Source organism: Homo sapiens, chromosome 3 (assembly GCF_000001405.40).
Source record: "Homo sapiens chromosome 3, GRCh38.p14 Primary Assembly".
Classification (NCBI taxonomy): domain Eukaryota; kingdom Metazoa; phylum Chordata; class Mammalia; order Primates; family Hominidae; genus Homo; species Homo sapiens.
The window spans coordinates 66,384,757-66,409,806 of record NC_000003.12 but is presented as its reverse complement, the minus strand read 5'-3'; the positions used below and the strand labels follow the sequence as shown (position 1 = coordinate 66,409,806).

At 48.1% G+C, this 25,050-nt stretch overlaps 1 protein-coding gene across 10 annotated transcripts in view, besides 5 other annotated features; it reads left to right on the top strand.

Moving 5' to 3' along the window:
- The window catches only part of LRIG1 (leucine rich repeats and immunoglobulin like domains 1), a 122,325-nt gene that overhangs the window by 91,315 nt on the left and 5,960 nt on the right, over window positions 1-25,050 (top strand). For 7 of the 10 annotated variants that reach the window (NM_001377345.1, XM_047447939.1, NM_001377344.1 and 4 more), the window contains 6 exons: window positions 2,316-2,459; window positions 4,529-4,609; window positions 10,766-10,837; window positions 11,624-11,695; window positions 15,604-15,767; window positions 23,506-23,826. In NM_001377345.1, coding sequence (NP_001364274.1) covers window positions 2,316-2,459; window positions 4,529-4,609; window positions 10,766-10,837; window positions 11,624-11,695; window positions 15,604-15,767; window positions 23,506-23,826 — 854 coding nt within the window. Of the gene's footprint in view, window positions 1-2,315; window positions 2,460-3,648; window positions 4,152-4,528; window positions 4,610-10,765; window positions 10,838-11,623; window positions 11,696-15,603; window positions 15,768-23,505; window positions 23,827-25,050 lie in introns of those variants that run through there. The other 3 variants (NM_001377347.1, NM_001377349.1, NM_001377348.1) reach the window with 3 other exon arrangements.
- Window positions 16,150-16,199: an enhancer, noted in NCBI's record as "active region_20043". NCBI's record gives its function as "activates an Ori minimal core promoter by ATAC-STARR-seq in GM12878 lymphoblastoid cells {active_cell/tissue: GM12878}" and the evidence as "EXISTENCE:reporter gene assay evidence [ECO:0000049][PMID:35858748]".
- Window positions 22,755-22,814: an enhancer, noted in NCBI's record as "active region_20042". NCBI's record gives its function as "activates an Ori minimal core promoter by ATAC-STARR-seq in GM12878 lymphoblastoid cells {active_cell/tissue: GM12878}" and the evidence as "EXISTENCE:reporter gene assay evidence [ECO:0000049][PMID:35858748]".
- Window positions 22,845-22,924: an enhancer, noted in NCBI's record as "active region_20041". NCBI's record gives its function as "activates an Ori minimal core promoter by ATAC-STARR-seq in GM12878 lymphoblastoid cells {active_cell/tissue: GM12878}" and the evidence as "EXISTENCE:reporter gene assay evidence [ECO:0000049][PMID:35858748]".
- Window positions 22,935-23,104: an enhancer, noted in NCBI's record as "active region_20040". NCBI's record gives its function as "activates an Ori minimal core promoter by ATAC-STARR-seq in GM12878 lymphoblastoid cells {active_cell/tissue: GM12878}" and the evidence as "EXISTENCE:reporter gene assay evidence [ECO:0000049][PMID:35858748]".
- Window positions 23,565-23,664: an enhancer, noted in NCBI's record as "active region_20039". NCBI's record gives its function as "activates an Ori minimal core promoter by ATAC-STARR-seq in GM12878 lymphoblastoid cells {active_cell/tissue: GM12878}" and the evidence as "EXISTENCE:reporter gene assay evidence [ECO:0000049][PMID:35858748]".

Genomic DNA, 25,050 nt, shown 5'->3' with positions numbered 1-25,050 from the left:
AGGGCAGCTATGGCAGAGTGCTCACAGGAGCCATTTTGAGAGTGACTGTGTGTTAATGGCCACACCAAATAGCATGTGCTTCTTCAGTGAGGGGGTCATTTGGGCTCAAACAGAGACAGTGAAACGCTGACTGTGGATGAATTTGTGTCCTCGGAGTCGCCACCTTCCTTCCTGTAGATGAGCTGCCCAGGTTCTTGGCCCCTTCCCTTTCTCTGTTTTGCACCGCAGTGGCCTGCTGGCAGAGGCTCCTGTGCAGTCGTGTGCGTGCTTAGTTCAGAGATGTGTGGTGTGGTCCTCTTGCTCCTTTTGGAGATTTCCAGACAGGGGTCCCAGGTTGAGACTGAGAACTGAGCTTGTCTTGCCCAAAGTTCTGAGATTAGTAGTGACAGACTGTCGCCTGGGTAGCGATGGGCAGTGGCCCTGGCCACCCCATCATGTCAGGGTGGGGTTACTGGACAGTGAACGCAGCATTCCTAAGGACTCAGAGAACATCTTTACAAGTCTATAGTTTGTGTTTTCACTGTTCTTTCCATTTGATATGCTCCAGTTTAGTCTACTGTGTTTCTTTATTTTTCACAAGAGTTGGGTGGGTTTTTTTGTTTTGTTTTGTTTTTTTCTTCCTTTTCTAGGCTTGGCTGTTGGAAAAAATTCACCCACTGAAGTGAATGATTGTTAAGAGTGCCAAGCCTCAGTCTGTCCTGTCTCTCTCTTGACCTCACCAGGCAAACTCAAGGGGATGCGTGAATCTAATGTGGATTCTTGCAGCTGGTGTTTGTGTCTGGTCTTCTGTGTTCTCCTCTCTCTCCCTGTCCTTCCTTCCCTCCTCCTCCCCCCCTCCCCCCACCACACACACACACACACACACACACACACACACACACACACACACACACTGACTTGGAGTTTATATTTTGGTGACTCCATCATTATCTAATGCAAAACACAGTGGTCCTGCCTCTTTCCTAACTTTTCTTGGATTCTGTGAGTGTTAACCCTTTGGTTTCAGCTTCCTACGCTTCAGGGCCTGCAGTTGTGCATTCCATGTGGTGCTGGATGGCTCCTTTCAGGCTCTGTAGTCAAGCTGTGACCCCACCAGGGGACTCCTGGTTTTGTTGGTCAGGGCCGGGAGGTGTGGGAAGCAAGAGAGGTCTTTTAAGTCCCCGAAGCCTGAGCCAGTCCAATTCTTAAAGTGAGGGGCCATCCTCTGACTCACCAGTGTATCGTGGCCCCAGGGATGGCATGCTGTCTTCTGCGGGGTCCGGGATCCCCTCTCTAGCTGGTGGAAGGCATGAAGCCCTCTTCCATGCCCTCTAGAAGGGGCAGCAAAGATCACAGAAGTGCGCTTGAGCAGTCCTAGCAGTTTGCACCATATCCAGGTAACCTCAGAGGCAGATTTGGGATTGCTTCCCAGCATGTGTTTCCCACCCCTCCTTTAAGCTAAATTCTTTAATTGCAGGTGAGGATATAATTTTGATCTCCTGCCAGGTCTGTTTAACTGACAGACACCCTGACTTATTTGTCCAGGAGGGAAAGAATGCTGCTCCTAGCTGCCTTTAAAAGCTCATTAATCTTCTCTGAGTTTATTTTCCATCTTCCTATCCCTGCCCCAGCCCCAATTTTTCAACGATAGATGACCAATATGTCACGTAAGCAACCCAGAGGTGCAGGAGTGCTGGGAGGAAGCTTTGATTCTGAGGTTCGGGCAAAGCATGTGCTTTTACCGCCTGCAGTAGGGGATCATGCTCTGAGGTCCACGTGGATGGGGGCAGGGAGGCCTGAGCAGGAGCCTCCTGCCCTGGGGGAGTTGCCCCACTAAGGCATGAGGCACAGGTGTGGTTGTCCCACGCAGGGGCTAGTGGTGCCCTCTGCTGGCAGATGCAGGGAGTGTGACTGGGGCTCCCTGGCTTGCTGCGGGGTCATCTCCAGAATCCCAGGCTTCTGCTATGAGAGAGGTCTTTTGTAGCCTGAATCAGGAGCTGCCTTGGACAGCATGAAGGCGCTGGAGCTTGAGAGTTGTTGTGTGTCATGACCTCGTGTGTAGTCTTCACAGTTTAACAGCCACCCTGGCCCCTGTGACCTATGCACCCATTCTACGAGTCAGACTAGTGTGTTGGGCACTGATGAGTTTCTAGCTGCATGGCCACTTTTACCCCCAGGATTCTGTGGGTGTGGGTGTGTGTGTGCACGCACGCGCGTGCGTGTGCATCTGTGTCATTTCCCACTGAAACCCAGCTGACTGTGGCCCAATTTCCGGTGGGGTGGGGTTGGGGGGCAACCACACTAGATGGTGACATTGCTGCCCTCCCTTTCCTCAGGGTCCTGTCCTTCAACAACCTGACACGGCTGGACGAGGAGAGCCTGGCCGAGCTGAGCAGCCTGAGTGTCCTGCGTCTCAGCCACAATTCCATCAGCCACATTGCGGAGGGTGCCTTCAAGGGACTCAGGAGCCTGCGAGTCTTGTACGTCTCCCACTACTGACAGGATAAAGGGGTCCCCAGTGGGGAGAGCAGAATAGAGCAAACCATCTGCTTTGTTGAACTCCATTTGCGTTGGCTTCGAGTCAGAATTGGATCCAAAGCTGGCTTGCTCTATGTGCAGAGTCTCAAACTTTTATGTAATCAACTGAAAAAGAACTGGTTAAGCAGAAAAATCTCTCATTTCCCCAGGATGGTGCCTAGAGAGGGATGGCAGCTCCTAAAAAGTAGTTGTTCTCAAGCAGTGATGCCCACGTTGTGCTGGACAGGATGCTGGCTCCTAGTGTTGGAAAAAGCTTCCCCACGCTGAGCGCCTGGTGCAGCCTCCAGTTCGGCAGCCGTGGGTCAGTCTTTCCCATCTTGAGTCTTCAGCTGCAACTTCCAAGTCCTGAATATTTTTTCTCTAAACCATGGGAATACTGCAGTGCATCTCTCGTCTGAGCATTTGAACTTCTTCAGCATAACCTGTACCAAGATGCCTCCTTTCCAAAAGCAGCACTTAGGGAATCCTGTGTCTCTCCTTGTACCTCGTCGGGGGTCAGTTAACAAAGTGGAGGTGCTAATGCCATTTCCCTTGAAGTCCCTAATTAGATGGGGTTGGCAAAAGTGGCTGCAGGATGCTTTTCTGAGGCTTGTATAAAACTTTTCCATGGTTGGCTTCATAGAACTTCCAAGCAGCTGTCAGCATAAAACCCCCAGAGAGGGGCATGCAGGTTTCAGAGGACAGTGGTGGCGGGTTCTAGGGTCTCCTTCTCAGGCGTAATCCACTGCACAGAGAGGGATCTGTTCCAGTGTGACAGGGAGGGAGGCCTTTGCACTTGCACCTGGCAGAGCCGGCTTTAATGTGGAGCCATTGCCAGGGAGTGTGAAAGAGGCCGGAGCCAAGCTATTCAGGCCAGGTCAGCCTGTGAGCCCATACAAGGCCCAAATAACAAGGCTGGGAACATTCAGACTGAGCGGGCCAGAAAGGAGAGAAAAACTTTGGCAGCCAGGGCTAGGAGCAGAGAGACAGGCACACAAAGCCACAGCCCCGGGTCCCTGGTTCCTGGTTTTTTCAGTATGCAGATGATAGGAAGGAACCCATTGAGAGGAGAAGTCCCTTCCAGCAGCAGAATCTCCACTATTTGACCTTCCTGCTGTGACAAGAAAGGTCACCGCCAGCATTTCACTCTTCAGTCAGAGCTGCCCTCTCTGCTGGCAGCATTGATTCCTGCTGCAGCTTCTCACAGGAGACAAGAGTTCCTTTTCTCTCCCTGGCCTGTGTCTGCAAGGGCTCGGGGGGAAAATTTAAGAACCAAGAACCTTGTGGAAAGTTGGAGAGGGCAGGATGGGGGCCTGGTCTCCAGGTGTGATGTCTCGCCTGGGCACTGTGACCTGCTCCTGGAAGCTGGGAAGCCATTGAGTCATCGGCCATGGGATTTGCATTGTTGGAGGGGCCTGGGCTGAGTTGGCCTCATCCCTCTGATCCTGGCGAGTGGGTCACAAGTCTGACTCAGCACCCAGATGTCCTCCCTGGCTCAGAGTCAGCGCCCTGCAGGCCTTGGGAGGAGATGGGCTCCGGGCTCCAGACCCACTGGCTGGTACGGAGGCGCCCACGGGCCGGCCCTGTGCCGGGTCTCTTTCTTCCATGTGCTTTCTGCAGTTTCTCGGTCATGTCCAGAAAAGGGACTCTGGTTGGTATGAGAGCAGACGGGAGCCTTAAGGAACCTTTTGGGTTGATTCTCAGTGCTGGGGCCAGATGTCCGCTCTCTCGGGGCAGAATACAGACTGGGCTGTCTGCACCACCTCCCTTCCCTTGAGTGTGGCCTCCGCAGACAGGGAGGCAGGTGGAGCCCAGGGAAGTTTCTTGTCTAAGGCATGTGTCATCTTGGTTGGAAGGCTGAGAAACAGGGCTTCCCTCCCAGGGCCACGTGTCTCTTCACCCTACGTCCCGGCTGTGCCTCCAGGGTGCATGCACCCAGGGGACTTCAGCTTCCGAGCAGCAGGCTGGGTGAGAGTTTGCTTTCCCTTCACGCCCCGACTGCTCGGTGAGCTGCTTTCTGTCCTCTCCCCAGGGATCTGGACCATAACGAGATTTCGGGCACAATAGAGGACACGAGCGGCGCCTTCTCAGGGCTCGACAGCCTCAGCAAGCTGTGAGTATCCGCCGCACGGAGCTCCGCCGGCAAATGCGCGGGACACACTTGGGTGGGAGATGTTTCTGTGGCGCCCCCCGCGCCTCTCTGCTCTGGGCCCAGGCGGAAGAGGAGCTGGCTTTTGTTTGGGGCAGAGCTTGTTTTGTTTGTGGAGAAGAGTTTGAAGAAGAGGGTGGGGGACACCCCACTCCTTGATGGCCTGGGTGTTGGGTTCTTGGGGGCTGGCAACCCGGCGTTTGGCGGCTGGTGGAGCTTCTCTTGGGCTTCACTCACAACTCACATGAAAACTGCTGAATTTGCTGTTGCCCTTTGTACAAAGGAGTCTTGCCCTGTTACTGGGTTTCTCAAAGTTGTGTAAAGGTCAGTAAGGTGTGAGGGCGGTGGGGCTCCTGTCAGTACTTTCGTCATTAACCATCATCTCAAATAACCACGTCATTTCCAAGGGTCGTAGTAGCAGCTATTTTGAATGTATGGTTTGGGGTCTTTTTCTTTTTTTTCCTAGCTAGCTCCTAGATTTTGCCAGTTAATCTGCCAAGCACCTGTGTGTGTTGTACCTAATGATCTCATGAGGGCAGGCTCTGTTAGGCAACCTCTTTATTAGTTGAGGAAAGAGAAGTGAGGGGATTTCGCCCAAAACTACACGGCTGGCAAGTGGCAGGCTCAGGATTTGCTTGTTTGGCTCCAAAGCCCACGTTCCCTTCCCCTTGGCCCGCCCTGTTTTCTCTGCGTGTAACCAGCACTTTCTGCAGATGCCACCCAAGGACCGTGCAGGAAGGGGACGAGAGTCATTATTACTGTTTACTAGCAGCTCGGAGGGAAGACTGGAGGAGGGCAAGACAGAGAGGACGGCTGCCGCTCGATTCCCCCAGCCCGTCCCCAGTGACGGGGAGCTCAGCAGAGTGCGAGTGTCAAGTAAATATTTGGAAAGCCCTAGTGGAGCTCGATGATAGAGGAGAGCCTGTGGTAGGGAGAGTCTTTTTATATAGTAGATGCTTCTGATTTGTTTTGAAAAGCGTGGCTTTTTGCACCTTTTATATACAAGGGTCCTGCTTAGGAATAAGCTCTGTTGGCTGTCTGAAGAAGGTACTTCTTGAGCGTCCTGTACTCCAGCAGCATGTCGGAGATGCTTATCAGTGATTCTTCTCCTTATTGTCCCTAAAACAATGCTGATTTTCCCCAGCCTTTAACCCATACGTGACCCCTTTTTATCCCATACGGGGCAAACCTGGGAAGAGCCAGAAGTACCAAGTGGGGTGGGGCAGAGGCCTTCTTAGCAAGAAGAGCTCCAGGCCTGGGATGTGGCTGCTGAGGTGTTCAGCACTGGCGCCACCACTCAGCATAAGCCTCCCTGACCTCGGCCATAACCGATTGAAGGGTGAGGGTGGTGAGAGTGGGCAGCACTGCCAGGTTCCTCGTGGGGCGTGTCAGTCCGGAGGAACCTGGAGCCGTTTCCTGGGTGTCATGGCTTCCAGGAGGCTCTGTCTCAATACAGAAGGCCCGTGAGGTGTGCCTGGCCCTGGGTCGCCTGGGCTTCCAGTGCTGCATGAGTCCGCCACTGCCTTCCTGAGTGCCCGCCCTCTGTGCCCTGGTGCTTTCTCCTTTGTCCCCCTGCTGGACTAGGCTCAGCTCTTCCACCTGAGCCCCAAGAGGTCAGCCCAAGCCCCTGCTTTCCTCACTCACATAATGTTGTTTGTAGTGAGCTGGTCCTGAGACTCCTGGGAACTTGTTAAAATCGAAGCCTCACCCCACCCAGCCACTGAGTCAGCATCTTGGGGCTGGAGACTCTGTGTATGTTTGAAAAAGGGTGAGAGAGAAAGACATGCATCCAAGTGGGGAAGCTGGGACAATAAATAAACAAGAATTCCTTAATATGATTAAATATATGCAATCACTTATTTAAGTGTGATGCTATCATGGTTATGTGGCAAAAGAAAAAAATGAATCATTTTCTTCTTGGATAAAGAAAATGGTATGATGCCTATGATTTGGATTCCATAAACTCCTGCTGGGTTTGAGAACGGGCAGTGGCTAGAGGTAGAGATGAGGTGAGATTGGCACGACCGGAGGAGGATTGGCACTGTGTCACGGGCACTTGGGGTTCAGGATACTACTCCGTCTACCTAGCATGGTATGTGCAAATTTCCACATTGAAAGGGAACCGGAGAAGTAAATGCTTCTCATATGATCATGGTACACAGGGCTATGTAAAAACTGCTGTGTTTGGCCTATCACAGGTGTTGAGTCGATGTTTGTTGAATGAAGGGAGGGACAGAGGAAGAACCCAGTGCCTCTTTGGTCCCCTCCCCACCCGCCTACTCAGAACATTCCAGGAAAGTTCTGCGCTGTGGCCCTGGCTGAGAGAAGTGACCACAGACAGCACTGTGTTGCTCTGTGGGAGTGGCCCAGTGCCGGCCTGTTAGGATCCACTGAGAAGTGGGGTGCGTGTTAGCACAGAGAAGAGCCGCCCCTCTAGAGCAGCTGATCCGTCCTGTGGGGAGTGCAGCCAGTGCCTGAGTCCCTTCATTTGGTGTGGGTTTGTTTTTGGAGAGCTCAAGGAGCTTGTGTTCAGGGTCTGCCCTAGGATGGGAAGGTAGAGACCCCTGCCTTCGCTGAGTTACTCAAGGACCTTGGGTCCTTCCCACCATGCAAGAGGTCAGACCTAAATTAAAATGTTTTCCAAGAAAGGGAGATGTGAGTAGCAGAGCCATAAACGGCCTCTCTGTGAATTTGGGGTGGATGCTGACCTGCCCTTAATTTTTCCAGCTTACGCACACAGCTGTGTTGGAGAGTTCCTCACACTGGAGCTTCCCAGCAGGGTGGGAATGTTCCTAGACCCCAGCGCATGCCTTTCTTCCTAACTGGTCTGGGATTCTGCTGTAGACCCACTCCAGGGCCTGTTTCCAAATGGTTGTGCGGTTCCCGGGCTGGGGCCTGCACGATGGCACAGAGTCAGTACGCGGGAGGGAAGGGAGAATTTCTGGATCCCAAATTACAGGCAGAGAGGAGCAGTTAGTGACCTGGGTATGCGACTTCCTGCCCAGTGGTTCCAGCTGGCTCCATGGCATTCCTCGGAGGGAGGGGCAGAGTCCCACACAGGGCACATGGGAAGGGGCATGTTTGGGGGATCTTGCAGAGCTGATGTGAGCGCAGCCTCCATCCCTGCCTATGTGGGGGCCGGGCCTGCAGTGGAACTCATTGTGTGTGTGGGTGGGAAGCGGGGGCTAGTGCACATGTCGCGGCTACTTCCAAGGACATGAGTACAAGGACCCATGTGAGCATTGCCCCCAGTACCTGCCACTTGATTTGGCAAGCGCTAACCAGGCCTTTGGAGCTGTTGGCTGGGTTGGCCAGGAGATGGATGGGAGGTTTGACAGGTGACTCCCGCAGGTCGCTTTCTGTTCCAGGTTGGTGCTGGGGAGGTCAGGCCAGGTGTTCCTTCTGAAAGGGAGCCCGGCTGTGGTACAGAAATAGTGTCCTCCCAGCCCATAATCCCGCCTCTCCTTTCTCCTGGCAGCAGCCTTTTATTAGAGCCATCCCAGTCTGCTGGCTGCAGCTCCCCGTCCCAGCCCCATATGTCTGCTGGGGGAAGGTAAGGACCCTGCCTAATCTACCAACAAGATGATTAGCCCCTGCATAATTGAGAATTTGAGAATTTATTTTATTGCTATTGTCACCGTTAAAAATAACAGCCTGCCCTCATTGTAAAACAGGTCAATGTGACTAATATTTAATGGATGAAATAAAGCGCAGCTTTTTCCTGGATCTCATTTACAGGAGATTTCACTAAACAGTTCAATGCGTTTTTACTGGGACCTGGGGCACACAGTGCCTGGGCGGGGGGATCTGAGTAAGAGTAGAAGTTGGCAGTGCTCTCTGAAGCGCTCGGGGTGCAGTGCCCCATGAGCTGTTACTTGCTGGCGAGTTTTGTGGTTAAAGCGCCTAAGTTAGCATGGCCATCAGCTTTTCTGTGTGTTTGGTTTATTTGTTTTAAAATAAAAGTTTCAGACTGAAGAGAGGTGTGGAAACGCTTTCAGAATGCGATTGTTTTCACATTCATGCAGACGGCCTGAAAGAAAGAAAACGCAGAGGGTCTCTGGCCCGTTTGCCCCTTCACCGTCCGGAGGCAGGAAACAGAGCTGGCTTTGTCTGAGGGCTGAGCTTGCAGTTAGTGCTGGGGTCATCCTGAATGGTGGCCCCCAGGGAGGGAGTCTGTTTCTGATGAAACGGAGGGTCAGGCAGCCCCTGTGGAGTGGCTGCCCTGGAAGCTGGCCACACGGACTGGTGGTGCCTCCCTCTGGCTCTGCTGTGAGCCTGTGTTTCCAGGAGGCAGCCTCCTGGTACCTGCCCAAGCGGTTCCCAGGAGGCCTGTTGCAGTCAGGAAGAAGCAGCGGCCCGTGTGGTGGGCAGGTCCCAGGCTGCCCTGCCATCTTTGGTTTGCTTCAGGGCTTATATTTCCTTTCTTTTCCTCCTTTCAGGAAGGGGCTGGGGCTTCTTGTTTTCCCTTATGGGTCCCAGTCTTAATGCAGGCTGAAGGTGGAGATGGCTTCTAGTCCGGTCTCTTCCCCGATGCTAGGTGAGATCCTGGACCAAGAGTCCCCTTCCCAGTAGGGGGCTGGGCCAGATGGGCTTTCTCCAGGGGCTTCCTCTCCTGCCCACCTGCACCCCATTGCCTTGGACAGACCTGTTGACGCTGAGAATCACCAGGAGTTGGCTCCCAGCAATCGGTATTCTTAGCCAGCCTGTTAGATCCTGGTGTACCTTAAGATTGACAAGTCCACGAAGCTGATGGTCAGCACTGCCTTTGGTTGTTCCCTGGTAGTCTCCTGTGCCATCAGGATTAGAGGGAATGCCTTTGGTGGGTTCTCATCAGAGAACATGATAACGGGGAGGGGAAAACTCGATTCTCTTCATTCCCAGTGTCCACCCTAGGGGCTTCCCTGCAGAGAGACAAGCTTCCCTTTAGATCACACAGTGTGGTGGAGGAGGCACTCATTTCTTCCATGTGTTCTGCAGGGGCGCAGACTTTGGTTTCTGGGAGAACTCTTAACAGTTACTGCTAAGGCTGGGATCAGAGTTGCCTGGAGGCAGGAACCCCTTTTTATGAGCAGGCAGTCCAGGAAGGGGACAGGCACTAGCGATAACGTTGGAGGTTGGCCCACTGACATCATGTAACGTCTGGGGTCTGGCTTAAGAGCCAAAGCACTGGGGCATCTCCTGCAGGCCCTGAGGGGTCCCTCTCGTAGGCAGGGACACAGCTCACCATGGCTGTGTGCTGGCTGCCAGGACATCTCAGGTGCAGACAGCTGTGGAGCCAGCTTGATGGATGCCTATTTTACTGTCCTCTTCTTGCCTCTTTTGGGAAGCTTTATTCCCAGAATGCACTTTTCAGAAGTGGGTGGCAGTTTGGGGGTTTTTGTTTGTTTTTTGTTTGAGACAACATCCCGCTATGTTGCCCAGGCTGGAGTGCAGTGGCGCAATCATGGCTCACTGCAGCCTCCACCTCCTGGGCTCAAGCAATCCTCCCACCTCAGCCTTCTAAGTAGCTACGACTACTGGTGCGTGTCTCCATGCCCGGATAATTTTTTAGTTTTTGTAGAGACAAGGTTGCCCTATGTTGTCCAGGTCTCAAACTCTTGGGCTCAAGTGATCCTCCTGCCTCAGCCTCCCAAAGTGCTGGGATTACAGGTGTGAGCCACCATGCCCAGTCATGGTCAGCAGTTTTAATTCCGAAGATTTTTCTTTCCTTTTTTGACTCAGCTTCCTCTCACTGAAACCATAATCAGTCTCATCTCTCCATCACTAAACTTCACCACCCAAGGGTTGGTGGTCCTTGGAGAGAGACTGGGCCAGACAAGGTGATTTCTGCCTAACACTGGGAGGGGCCTTTTTTAGGCCAGACGGCACATGCAATTCCAGCCTATCATCACTATTAAATTCTAATAAAGATAAAAGTATTTCATTTCAGAAAGGGGAAGGCCTGCGTGCCTCAAACCCGTAATCTCAGCGCAGGTCAGCTTTCCACCTGCCCCTCACTGGACAGACTTATCAGGTAGCACTACCTTAATTGTGTGTTTTCTTTTTCTTTTTCTTTCTCTCAACCCTTCCTGTTTCGCTTTCCTTCCCTGGCCTTAATTTCTGGATGTTTGGAAACTACAGGACTCTGTTTGGAAACAAGATCAAGTCTGTGGCTAAGAGAGCATTCTCGGGGCTGGAAGGCCTGGAGCACCTGTGAGTATCTCACCAGCCCTGCCCTGAGGCACAGCCTGCTGAATGCGGCTGCCGGGGAGTTCTGCTAGCAATTTAATCGCATCTTTGTAAACTGAGAAACAGGCTATTTGGAAACACCAGCTGCTTCCTTCTCATTATGTCAGCTTCAGCTTTGGCCTTTATGTTGCCTATGCCAGGAACAGTTACAGAACATATGGCCAGTGGATGTGCTCCCAGTTAATTCAGTTGGTATTTGGATAAATACCCTCCCCCCTCCTGCTGCGCAGCCTAACCCCTGCACTGGCTCCTTCATGGACCCCTGGCCTCATTGCCTCTTCCACCAACGCGCTTCCTCCTGGCCAAGCCTGTTGCCTCCATTAAAGCAGCTTAACAATGCAGAGTAGGTGCTGGGCTGAACCAGTTTGGTGTGGTTGCTTCTGAGACCCTGGGAGGAAGGGAACAGAGCCACCCGAGACAGTCATGCTGTTGCCATCTGGGGAGGATGCCTCATGTATGTGATTCTTAGTTTGTTTCCTCTTTGAATCAAGTTTGACTCTAACTCTGTTGGGAAAGGTTTTGCCTTGCTGAGCAGGCCTCAGCCCAGCTTTGATGGTGCCCTAAGGCTGGCTTGGCTCCTGAGTCATTCCATGGGCTTGTGTTGCGATTTGGGAAACAACAGCCACTTATAGTAGTTAGGACACAGGTCTGGCTAGTCCCTGTGGGTCATCTGTGAAACCAGGACTGTCCTGAAAACCCCTCAGGTGTACCTAGGGTTTCTTTGCATAAGTAATGTATGTTCTGTTTCAGGAACCTTGGAGGGAATGCGATCAGATCTGTCCAGTTTGATGCCTTTGTGAAGATGAAGAATCTTAAAGAGCTGTAAGTATCTGGATTCCCTGGGTCTGATTAATGGTAGTGGAGACTTTCAGAGTAAGAAACTTCTGCAATTGCATTATGCTCACTTGTTAAAAGTTCACATGGTACATATTTTGGATTTTGTGGGCCACAGAGTCTCTGTCATGACTACTTGATTGCATCATTGCAGCAGAAAGCAGCCATAGACATTACATAAGCAGGTGGGTGTGGCTATGTGCCCATAAAGTCACATTGACAGAAGCAGGCAGTCGGGCCGCAGGCTGAAGCTTGCTAACCACTATTCTAGGCAATGTGAAATATACTCTCCTCTATAAAGTGGATAATCACCCCTTCAATTATGTCAGGGCCAAGTTTTCATCTTTTGGGCTTGCTTACGATAAAGGCCTGTGTTGAGAGGGTCTACTTCAGAGCCTGGTGGGCTGTGAGCAAGGCAGAGCTCTGGAGGGGATGGGATGCTTAGGGGTGCAGTGGTGTCTGCCCATACCATTTCCAAGCTTTCTGGGCACGGTTCACAGGTGGTGGTGCTGCCACTGTGGACTTGGACTGTGGGCTCTTGGGTGACAAGGTTGGAAAAGCTTCCCTGTATCCTACTCTGGCAGGGGAGCTAGTCTGGGTCCTCAGGTGTAACACCCAAGTTTTCCTTTCTGGTTTTTTTTTTTTTTTTTTAGCTAGACATGAATCTGATTCTACAGCCAGTAAGTTCTAGCCATGATATCAGTTCCCTGAAGGGGTAACTTTTGGTTCCTAGAAGTGCTGACAGAATGGCAGATGCCACAGGACAGTCATCTTTGTGCCCTGACCTCATCCCCATTCCCCGAGGCCACTCTTGATGAACCCTCAGTTGGGGCAGGGAGGCTGGGACTGGGGAAATGAGGTGCATTCCCCATAGCTGGGAACTGAAGCGGGCCGGGTGACACCAGACTGAGTGAGGAGGGAAGGTGGCCTGGGCACTTGCCCTGTGATGTTCAGCATGCTGTGAGCCTCAGGCCTGCTGAATAGATACCGTCCTTGCAAGGGTTGGATCTTGGAGCGGGTGTCTGTGACGGGTTCATGGAGCTCAGGGCTCTGCAGACAGCTGCTCCGTGCCCAGGGCCTTCCCTCTTCCAGCCTCAGCAGCTCTGCCTCCATCTGTCGGGTGAGACGGAACATACAGAAAGGATTCCATGGCTCTCCTTCCAGAGCAGGGGAGGAGATGATTCCAGACCACCGTGGAAGGGAAGGCTGGACTCAGAGGTGGACTCGCAGTAAAGCAAGTGGAATGAAACATTGGTTGTAGAAGACAAGCGGTGGGGCACAGGAGCATTCACTGTGGAATTCTTTCACCTTTTCTGTCTTTGAAACTTTCAGATATGATGTCAGGACTGAAAAATACCTGATTCAATTTAAACGGGAAGAAGGTATTTTGAGAGAAGGAGGGAGGAGGATAAGATTTTCCTTGGGAAGTTGGGAGGAACTGGACCCTTCCAGAAGCTTGGACCTCCAGCGTGCTTCTGCATGGTTCTGGAGGCTCAGCCTCGGTCTCCTGCCTGGGTTTCCCATCGTTGCTGCATATACCTCGCTGGAGCCGGCCCTGTGCCCAGTCCTCAGATGAGAGAAATGGTTAATTCCACTTGGTCGTCTTTTTCTCCATCAGATCAAGTCAGGTTGTACTGTGCACTTAGTCATCCTCTGGGTAAATTTCCACAAGTGATGATTAGAAACACACTTTGAGTTGGAATCGTGAAAATGCACCATGTGAGCCAGCAAAGCCCTGGGATGGCAGCAGAAGGCAGTAGAGCCGATGGCGCTGTGCTCTCCACGGGTGGAAGAAGGGCGGCAGGAGCCTGCAGAGCCTAGGGGTTGGAATCCTCGCTACTGCCTGGCCCCAGGCCCTCCCCATGTATCCTCTCAGTCCTAACTTGCTGTTTAGGAACATGCTGTCTCCACCCTGAGTACCCACTGTCTTCCTGGAGTCTGGCCTCCTGTCTGAGGTGGGTTTCATGGTGGAAGAAGTAGGAAATCCTCAAAGGCGTTAGCCCCACACGTCCAGGGCGTGTGTAGGATGAGGCTTAGCCCTTTCTACATGTGTCTGATCAAAGATAAATGTCAAATTTGTTTTCCCGTTTGTTCCTGTGGTTCAAATGGAATATGTCCTTGTGTCCTGCACAAATGCTTAACGTCGCACAGGGATGGCCCAGCCTTCTCTCCTAGGCTTTCGTGAACAGTGCCCAGGCTGTTCTGCCTGACTGCACGGAAGTGCCCTCTTGCTGGGGAGCTGGAGGTGCTTCTGACAGCGGAGAGTTCTCCATCCAGGCTGAGTTCCCCCCATGCCTGGCGCAGCCAGCCCTGACCCCCATGCAGGGTGCACTCCTGGGAGCTGCCCTCCCCAAACACTGCATGGGAATTGACCATTTCCTCAGGGATGGCCGTTACAGCCCTTCCGCCACCTGCAGTGACTCCACAGTAGGACAGCCCTCCAGATGGCTCTCAGCAGAACGCTACCTGCCCGTGAAATAAAAATGCAAACTCTCATGCTGATTTTAAGATCTAATATGGGCCAGCATCCCAGTTATAATGGCCTTGAGATAAGTTATTTCTGTTTTTGGAAAAGCACTTTCCAAAATTATAATTATTTTAATAAGATGCCCAACTCATCTAGGGGTGATGGGGAACATGAGGAAGAGTGGATTTTACTTAATTTAGCCTTGGGTCATCTGCTTACACTTCATTCTTCCTTGCTGTGACAGTTTCTCTGCTCATTAGAAATCTGGAGAGAAACAGAAGAAAATGGAAGGCCAGTCCATTTGGTTGCTTTGTTGATGTCTGAGGACAGTGGTGGGTGGAGAAGGCAGCCAAAGTCGTGCTCTTGGCCTGCATGATGTTTTTGGAATTTCTGCGCATACCTGTGCCTCCTGTTTGTCACCATGTACCAGAGACAGTGTATTGCAGGGAAGCCTGTGTGCTCTCTTTCCCAGTCTTCCCTTATCGTGGGCCAGCCATCATTCTTTAGCTCACAGCTCTGAGGTCTTCCAGGAACAAGGCAGCTAGACTCTTGGTTGACTTATCTTCAAGTGACTCCTCAGGAAGGAATGTCCGCTGAGATGGCGATTCCGATTTCTGTTTAAAAAGCTTATCCTTAGTTGCTGAGAAATGAAAAAGAAAATATTCTCTGTTTTGGTTGGAGCCCCACAAAGCTAAAGTTGTGCATTCTCATGCTCCCTGGGCAGTGGCAATTAACTAACAAGCACTATTTAGGGAGCAGAGCCGAATTCTGCCGGCCCCCTGAAGAATACTGGTGCAAAGATCAAGGCACAAACAAGAGGGTGGCACAGTGACGGGGCTTATTACATTTGGAAGTAAGAAAACATGCAGCTTTGCCAAATGGAAAAGGAACAGCCATGAGGCAAAAGAGCCCTCCTCGGAACTTGTTGCAGAATTTGGATCAAAGTCTCAGGCCGAGTTTGGAAGCTCCAAGTAGTTTATCAGGAAAGTGGGAAAAACCAGAGGGGGGATGGTGGCAGCATAGCACTGTTGGATGTATCAGAGGTCAGGAGAGGTCAGAAGGCAGCCCAGGGTCACACAGGAACAGTGTCTGTCCCAGAACATGGCATGGATAAGCTCCACGTTGCTGCTGCTCCAGTTGCGGTCCTTGGGTCAGCAGCCCCAGCATGATACGTGAACTTGTTAGCAGAGTCGTGGGTTCCACTCCTGACCCACCCAATCAGCAACTGCATTTTTTCAAAATCTCCAGGTGGGTTATATGCACTGCCCTGGGAAATTGGAGAGGAAGTGTGAGAAAAACCATTTCCCCCTTCCAGCTTGCTGATGTTCACTTGAGAAGCTGATTGGAGGCGACTGATCATTGTGTGTGTGAAGGGAGTGTCCCTCCTTTGCGGCTGCACCTGAAGCATCCACTGTTGTGTTTCTTTCAGCCATATCAGCAGCGACAGCTTCCTGTGTGACTGCCAGCTGAAGTGGCTGCCCCCGTGGCTAATTGGCAGGATGCTGCAGGCCTTTGTGACAGCCACCTGTGCCCACCCAGAATCACTGAAGGGTCAGAGCATTTTCTCTGTGCCACCAGAGAGTTTCGTGTGCGGTAAGACTGTCTTTGTAACTTTTTCTCTCCTTCATGAAGGACAAGGAAGCCAGGAGGTACTCTTCATTATGGGAGTAATTCCTGTGATCAGAGTAAACCCCAGCCCGTGGTTACAGATCAGCTGCTGGATGCAATTTATTTCTTGCTGAAACCACACACAGTATTTACCGTAGAGTTGCCTCATTATGTGGTTCTTGGAGGACATGCATTTAATCAGAAGGGAGTATAAGTTGGTTCAGTTACAAATCAGAATAATCAGTTACAGGAAGATAGTTCTGTTGTTTCAGAAGGGCTCTGGTGCCCGGGTTTAGCTGCGAATGTACTCCGCGTACGAGGCTGGCGTTTTAATGTGTGTTTCTTTCCGACCCCAAGAATGAAAGGTTAAATACAGGAAGAACAAGTCTCAGGAGAACAGTTGCTGTAGTAAAAATAATTCCTTGATGTTGACTTGTACTCTTGCTGTTTCTCCAAACCACTGAAATCTGCACTTGCAGCTTTACATTCTTTTTGCCTTCTGATTCCTGGAGCGTAGCTCTTGCCATCTTTTTGACTGGGAGTCGGGATCCAAGTTTGGTTGCAGAGAGCACAGAAAATGCTGAACAGCTGAAAACACACACGCAGGCTAGCTCAGACAGGACTGACACAGGCTCACGGTCAGGAAGACATGGTCAAAAAATGAGATGAATTTTGAGTTTTTCCTGTTTGCTTGCTCTAAGCAGGAGCAAGAGTGGGATTCCCAGGCCTGACTGGAACTGCTGGGCAGGTGTTAAGTCCCTCCTGCCTTTTGTGCTCACTGGTCTCCCTTGAGCCTTGAGATCCCTGCTGTGAGGATCCTAACCAGGAACTCACCCATCCATATGGCAACCCTTGTGGGCCACTTCTGTCTCCTACTTTCTGGCCATAGCAATAGCCATTGTGCCTGCTGGAGTAGCCAGTGTGCCTGCTGGAGGCAAGATGTGTGTGCCCTCTCCATGCATCCACCCCTACCTTCACCATCACCACTTTTGAGAACAGGCCTGCTGAACTTCCTCTGGATCCAGACCAGGGACACGTCTTAAACCCACTGCGAACATGGCAGCAGCTCTCCAAACTGACTTTTCATACCGATCTGTCTTATGGAGCCTTCTGTGTGGAATCTAATGCTCGCACAGCTCCATTATCCAGGCACAAAATGGCTGTATAATCCATTGTTCATTGGCCCATTGTCATCAAGTCCTTGACCCTTAAATTGTTTATAGACCTCCCTCAAATAAAGCTTTCCATCGCTCCCTCCCCTTTCCTGCCATAGGGCAGGCTTTCCCTCTGGGTGAGCCAGGTAGGACTTTGGTAAGTTCACCTAGCCCCCAGCCTGTGGCCCTGGCATATTCTGGATTGCAAGAGTTGTTTATTTCACATCTGTCATCCCCACCCCCACATTTTAGCTCAAGCTTCCCCCCCTCTAAAAACGTCAGGTGTTAATGGGAATCATGAAAACACTTGGCAGAAGATCAAGGTTTCAGGCTTTATGGGAGTCTCCCACTCCTTTTTTAAAAACGGAAACATAAGCACTCCACATCCACTAGGACAGCTAGAATCCAAAACTCAGATAATAACAAGTGTTGCTGAGGATAGGGAGAACCCTCCTACACTGCTGGTGGGAGTGTAAACTGGGGCAGCCACTTTGGAAAACAGTCTCGGCAGTTCCTCAGTTCAACATCCAGTTACGACATGACCTGGCAGTTCCACTCTTGGGTGTATACCTAAGAGAAATGAATGTATATGTTCACACAGAAACTTCTTCATGAATGTTCATAGCAGCATTATTCATAATGGCCAAAATATGGGCACAACCCAGGTATCAGTGGATGACTGGATAAACAAAAGGTGGTATAGCCATACAATGGAATATTCATTAGGCTGTGAAAGCAATCAGTAGTCCTGCAACATGAATGAACTTTGACAATGTCATGCTAAGTGGAAGAAGTCAGCCACAAAAGACCATTAGATTATATGATTCCATTCATAGAAATGTCCAGAATGGGGAAATCTGTGGAGGTAGAGATTAGGTTAGTAGTAGTTTAAGGATGGGGAGGGATGGAAAGAGAGGGGTAATAGCTAAAATGTACAGCATTTCTTTTTGAAGTGATGAAAATGTTGTAAAATTGACTGTAGTGATGGTTGCCCATATTGGTGAGTATACTAAAAACCATTGAATTGTATACTTTAGATGAGTGAGTTGTAGTGTAGATGAAGTATTCTCAATAAAGCTGCTTTTAAAAAGAAATATAATTTATATATCATAAAAATTTACCCCTTTAAAATATATAAATTGATGGTTGTTATAATAGTCACAACTGTGTAACCATCACTATTATCTAATTTTAGAACATTTTTATCACCACTAGAAGGATCCCCATACCATTAGTAATCACTCCCTATTCTCTGCCCCCAGGCCCTTGATAGCACTAATCTCATTGTGTCTCCATCATTTGCCTATTCTGGGCATTTAATATAAATGGAACCATACAGTATACGGTCTCTTGTAACTGGCTTTTCTCACTTAGCATAATTTTTAAGCATGTATCAGTACTTCATTCCTGTTTTTCATGGCTGAATAAATGGGTTTACATTTTATTTATCCGTTTATCAGATGATGGACATTAGATTGTCCCCACTTTTTGGCTATTATGAATAATGCTGCTGTGAAAATTCATATACAGGGTTTTGTGTGATTCTCTTGGGTACAAACCTAGGAATGGAATTGCTGGGTCATACGCTAACTCTGTGCTCAGCTTTTTTGAGGGACTGCCAAACTGTTTTCCAGAGTGGCTTCATGATTTTACATGCCCATCACCAATGCATGAGAATTCCAATTTCTCCCCATTTTTGCTAGCATGTGTTATTAACTGTCTTTTTTATTTTGGATGTACTCGTGAGTGTAAAATAGAGTCTCATGGTGGTTTTGATTTGCACTTCCCTAATGATTAATGATGTTAGGCATGTTTTCACCTGCTTATTGGACATACATATATATATATATCTTCTTTGGAAAAACAGCTATTTAAATCATTTGCCAGTATTCATTTGTCTTTTCAATGTTTAGTTGTAAAGTTCTTTATGTATTCTGGATATGAGACCTTCATAAGATACATGTTGTGCCAATATTTTCTCCCAGTCTGAGGGAGGGCTATTTTTCATTTTCTTGATAGTTGAAATGCAAAAGTTTTTAATTTTGGTGAAGTTCAATATCTCTATTTTTTCTTTTATTACGTATGCTTTTGATGTCATATCAAAGAAACTATTTGCCTGAGATAAGGTCACAAAGATTTCCTCCTTTATTTTCTTCTAAGAGTTTTATAACCTTAGTGTTACAAAGCCCTTTGATTTTATTCTTTTTCAAAATTGTTTTGTCTATTATGGATCCCTTGCCATTTCCTTACAATTTTTTGGATCAGCTTGTCAATTTCTGCAGTAAAGGAAAGTGGGATGTGGGTTGCATTGAATCTATAGACTAATGTGAGAAGTATTGCCATCTTAACAGTATTAAGTCTTCCCAATCCATGAAGATGGGCTGTCCACCCTTTTTTCTTAGCTTCTTAAAAATTTCTTTCAGTCATGTTTTGTCACTTTCAGTGTACACATCTTCAACTACTGTTAAAGGTATTTCTGTTTTTATTCTTTTTGCTATTGTAAATGAAATCCTTAATTTCACTTTTGGATTTTCAAAAATGAAATATTTATTGCAAGTATACAGAAATGTAATTGAATTTTGTATCTTGATCTTGTATCCTGCATATATGTTGACATCATTTATTCTAAGTTTTTCAGTAAATTTCTTAGGATTTTCTTTATATGTGATCATCATGTCATTTGCAAAAAGGTAGTTTCACTTCTTCATTTCCAGTCTGGGTGGCTTTCATTTCTTTCTCTAGCCTGTTGCACTGGCTAGAAGCTCTAATACAAAGAAGAGTGAATTTGTGAGAGTTTTGGTGGGAAATCATGAGACATCCACCTAAAAGTCCTAATTTGGCTCCATCTGACTTCTTTTTAGTTATTATCTTTAAAAATCTTTAAAGGGCACCCAATTTTCTTCAATTAATAATGTAAAAAAGACTGCATTGATATGTCCCAGGACCCTCAGTTCTTTAGGGATGGACTAAATGGCTGGTATCATCACTCAGGAGAGTTTCAAACTTGATGGAGGTTATGTTGAGAAATAAAGTTTATAATTCGGTTTTCCATGAACTTTTTGAAGTCCCCTCATAGTGTTGTTGAAGTCTTCTGTTTCCTTGATCTTCTGACTAGTTCTATCCGTTGTTGAAAGTGGGGTATTGAAGTGTACAAACTATTATTGTTGCACTATTTCTTCCTTTAATCTGGTCAGATTTTATGTTTTGTGGCGCTCCATTAGGTATATATGTATTTATCATTTTTACGTGTTTCTGATGCATTGACCCTTTTACATTATAAAATATTATTCTGTCTCTGTAGTAAAAACTCCTGTCTTAAAGCCTATTTTGTCTGTTAGTAGTATGGACACTTTAGTTCTCTTTTGGTGACTGCTTATTTGTATCTTTGAATCCACACTGTGTCTCTTGTAGGCTATAGCTGGATCATAGTTTTTTTTATCCATTATGGTAATCTTTGCCTTTTGATTGGAGTGTTTAATTCATTTTCCTTTAATGCATTTACTAATAAGGTAGAGTTTGCCCCTTATTTCTTCTATGTGTCCTATCTTTTTGTTTCATTGTTTTTCCAATACTGACTAGTTTTTTTATTGAAAAGATATTTTCTGTTGTACTATTTTAATTCCCTGTTTTTTAAATACACGGGTATTTTTTAGTTATTTTCTTAGTTTTGCCCATAGGAATTAAAATTAACATCTTACAACAATCTAGTTCAAATAAATAATGAAATTAACTTCAGTAATATGCAAAAATTATGTTCCTATTAAGATCCAGTTTTATTCCTTTGTGTTACTGTTGTCGTACACATTACATTTTCATTAAGCCCATCAACACAGCCTTATAATTACTGGTTTATGTAGTTGTCTTTTAAATCAGGAGACGCGAGTTACAAAAATACACGTATCCTGTGTGTTGTATTACCTGTGTAGTTACCTTTAATGGGATTTTTTATTTCTTGGTGTGGATTGGAGTTGCTATATGATGTCCTTTCATTTCAGCCATACTAAATACTCTCCTGGATTTCTTGTGGGGCAGGCCTGATAACAGTCAACTTGCTCTGTGTGTGTTTAAAATAAAAACATCGGAATGTTTTAATTTCCCCTTCATTTTTGAAGGATAGGTTTTTTAATACATAGAATTCATAGTTGAACGTTTTTCTTTCAGTAATTTGAATATCTTCCTACTGCCTTCTGTTCTCTGTGGGTTCTGGTAAGAAATCAGCCGTTAATAATAATGAAGATCCCTTGAATGTGATGAGTTGCTCCTCTTTTGCGTTTTCAAGATTCTTTGTCTTTGGCACCTGACAGCTTGACTATGATGAATCTGCGTTTGGATCTTTGAATTTACTCTACTTGGAGTTCATTAAGATTCTTGGATGTGTGGCTGCACATTTTTCATCAAATTTGGGGCCATTGTTTTGCAGATACTTTTTCTCTTCCTTTTTCTTTCTTCTCCTTCTTGGACTCCCATGATTTGTATGTTGTTGTGCTTGATGCTGTCCCACAAGTCTCTGTGGTTCTTTTCATTTTACCTCATTCTTTTTTCTTTGTTTCTCAGACTACATAATCTCAGTTGACTGTCTCAAGTTCCCTGCCCCCTCCTTCTGCCAGCTCAGTTCTGCTGTCAAGCCCCTCTAGTGAATTTTTCATTTCAGTTATTGTACTTCTAAGTTTCAAAATTTCTACTTGGTTCATATCTATAATTTCTCTTTATTGCTATAAAATTTTCTCATACTTTATCCTTTTTTTTTTTTTTTTTTTTTTTTTTGAGACAGAGTCTTGCTCTGTCACCCAGGCTGGAGGGCAGTGGCGTGATCTTGGCTCACTGCAAGCTCCGCCTCCTGGGTTCATGCCATTCTCCTGCCTCGGCCTCCCTAGTAGCTGGGACTACAGGCACCTGCCACCACACCCGGCTAATTTTTTTTTTTTTTTTGTATTTTTAGTAGAGACAGGGTTTCCCCATGTTAGCCAGGATGGTCTTGATCTCCTGACCTCATGATCCTCCTGCCTCAGCCTCCCAAAGTGCTGGGATTATAGGCGTGAGCCACCCCACCTGGCCACTATCCTTCGATATTTTTTTTAAGACATGGTTTCCTTGAGGTGTTTGAATATGCCTATAATTGCCGATTTAAAAAGTTTATTTAGTGAATCTAAGTCTGGGCTCCCTCAGAGACAGTTTCTGTTGACTGCTTTTTTTCCTGTTTGAGTGTTTCATAATATTTTGTTGAAAATTGGGCATTTAAAATAAAATAATGTGGCAACTCTGGAAATTGGATATTCCCTTTCTCCTCCCCCAGGATTTGCTGCTGTTGCTGTTTATTGTTACAGCTTGCCTAGTGACTTTTCCTGGACAAAGGCTATATAAAGTCCGTCCCCTTAAGTCCCTGCTTGTTTAGTTTAGTGGTTAGCTAATGGTTGGACAGAGAAGTCACCACAACCACTGTCTCCTATCCTTTACCGACGGCTTGTGTGTTTGTGTTGGGGTGTGCCATCACTTCCTATTTGTGTAGACAGTCATGCTCAGCCACAGGTGACAAATGAGGACCCCCTCACGTCTTTCCTGGGTGTGCACATGGCCTTGCACCTGCATGTGGCTGTCTAGATCCCCAGGAATGTATTGGACCTTTTCAAAGCCCACCATTAACACTGTATTCCCCACATTTTCCTTTATAGTTTTTTGGCCAGCTGCTTGTTTGCCCCATGGGTATTGTCCCCTCAGACAGCTGCGCTGTTGAACAGTGGCTACTGATTGTTGTAGTCATGTGCCCTGGGGCTAGGGCTTCTCCTGCTCGGCAAACTAGATCAGGGCAAATCAATGCAAATCCTGTGAATGGGGCTTTCCGTGTTGCTGCCAGATAGGCCACATGGTGTCAGTTCTGAGGATGGGGCTTTTGGGGAGCCCATTCTGACCCTTGAGTGGTTGCTAGGCTGCTGGGTTTCAAGGCTACCATGGAGCTGGGGAGGGAAGAATGGGGCTTTGGATAAGTTAAAATACCACAAAGCTCACATTTCTGAGATGTTGCTATTTGCTTGAATCAACAATCCATGGATTGTTGTAAGCCTTTGGTTTTCCAGAATTCTGAAAAAGTTGCTTTTGACCATTTTTCCAGGTGTTTTCCTTGTTTTAATGGAGGTGCAGATTTTTGGAGGTCCTTATTCTGACATTTTGGAAGTGTTTTACACCCCCTCCTTTTGGAGTAAGGTTTGTGGGTAAGATCTCTGCAGTCATGACCAGTGGTGCCTGACTGTTTTGTGTGAAAGTCAGCAGGCAGAGCCAGTTGTCTTAAGGAAACTGCCGGCTGGCTGGTTTGAGAACTGAGAAGTGGTGGGTTAATTTCTAATCAAGGAGTGTGATCATAAAGGTGATCAGTACTCACAGACTTCTAATTAGATGAGGTCAGATGTCCATGGTGCAACTCTTACGGCATCTGGTTGGTGGGGCTGAGGATGCACAGGGACCTCAAGCTCTGGTTCCTGCTTGGTGTCTGTGTCAGTTTCTGTTAGCATGAACAGCAGCTGGTTCCTCTGTGTACCAAGAACCCAGCGCTTTACAGTTGACCCTTCTCTCCCCAGATGACTTCCTGAAGCCACAGATCATCACCCAGCCAGAAACCACCATGGCTATGGTGGGCAAGGACATCCGGTTTACATGCTCAGCAGCCAGCAGCAGCAGCTCCCCCATGACCTTTGCCTGGAAGAAAGACAATGAAGTCCTGACCAATGCAGACATGGAGAACTTTGTCCACGTCCACGCGCAGGACGGGGAAGTGATGGAGTACACCACCATCCTGCACCTCCGTCAGGTCACTTTCGGGCACGAGGGCCGCTACCAATGTGTCATCACCAACCACTTTGGCTCCACCTATTCACATAAGGCCAGGCTCACCGTGAATGGTATGGAAACACCATCTTTGTTATAGTACCAGAATCCTACAAAGCACACTCCTGATTGCCCTTTCAGCTTTCCATGTAGAGATGACTGAGACAGGACACACACATGCTTCTGTGGGGCACTGTTAAATCCTATTGTTGCCTGGGTTTGCCCCAGAGCAAGTTTTGCAGATTTCAAGGGTTATTCACAATGAGTTACTTGTTTTTGGTGAGTTTTAAAAATCTAGTTATTGGCCGGGTGCTGTGGCTCATGCCTGTAATCCCAGCAGTTGGGAGACTGAGGTGGGCAGATCACTTGAAGCCAGGAGTTCGAGACTAGTGTGGCCAACATAGTGAAACCCCGTCTCTACTAAAAATACAAAAATTAGCCAGGTGTGGTGGCACATGCCTGTAATCCCAGCTACTTGGGAGGCTGAGGCACAAGAATTGCTTGAACCCAGGAGGTGGACGTTGCAGTGAGCCGAGATCACTCCACTGCATTCCAGCCTGGGTGTCAAAGTGAGACTGTCTCAAAAACAAAACAAAAACTAGTTATTAAGTCAAATTGTGGAGAGCTAAGCCTTGTTTTGTCCAGTTCTTATCCTCTATAAGCCAAGAGATCTGGCTTCCAAATTCCAAATACCCCTTAGCCTGGGGAAGCTGCTGTTCTTTGAGTAGATGGCACAGCATTGGAGTCAGAGGCTAGCTACTGCTCCAGAGACTGTGGAGTGCAAGGCTGGTGTGAGCCCTGGCCTGAAAGACACAGTGTCCTGGCAGTTGACAGGTTTTTACTCATTAACCAGCCTTGGAGCTTGTCAAGGGGACCATGTGTTATTGTGTGTTTGGAGGAGGGGGGTGGGGAGTAGATAGCTTGAAGAGTTTACTGTCCCACCCCAGTAACCTAATGGGGTTATCCTGATTACTAACTCTCTAGTTAAAAAGAATTGGCTTGAGAATCATCAGAATGGTGGATCTGCTTTGCTCTTTAAGCCCCCACAGATCACAGCGAAACACCTTCTTTACCACACTGTAGTGGGGTTGTCTTGGCTTATTCCAAGTCCTCACAGCTTCCGAAAGACTCAGCTGTTTGTTAGACTCTCCCCAAAATTGACGTTGACAGGAACTCTGGTGGTGCCTGACACGTGGCTGGATGCGTCCCACTCTGTCAGGACATCGATCTTTAGGCTGAGCAAGCTAGCAAGCTGAATGCTTCCTGCCTGGGTATACGGCAGTGGGCAGGAACAGCCT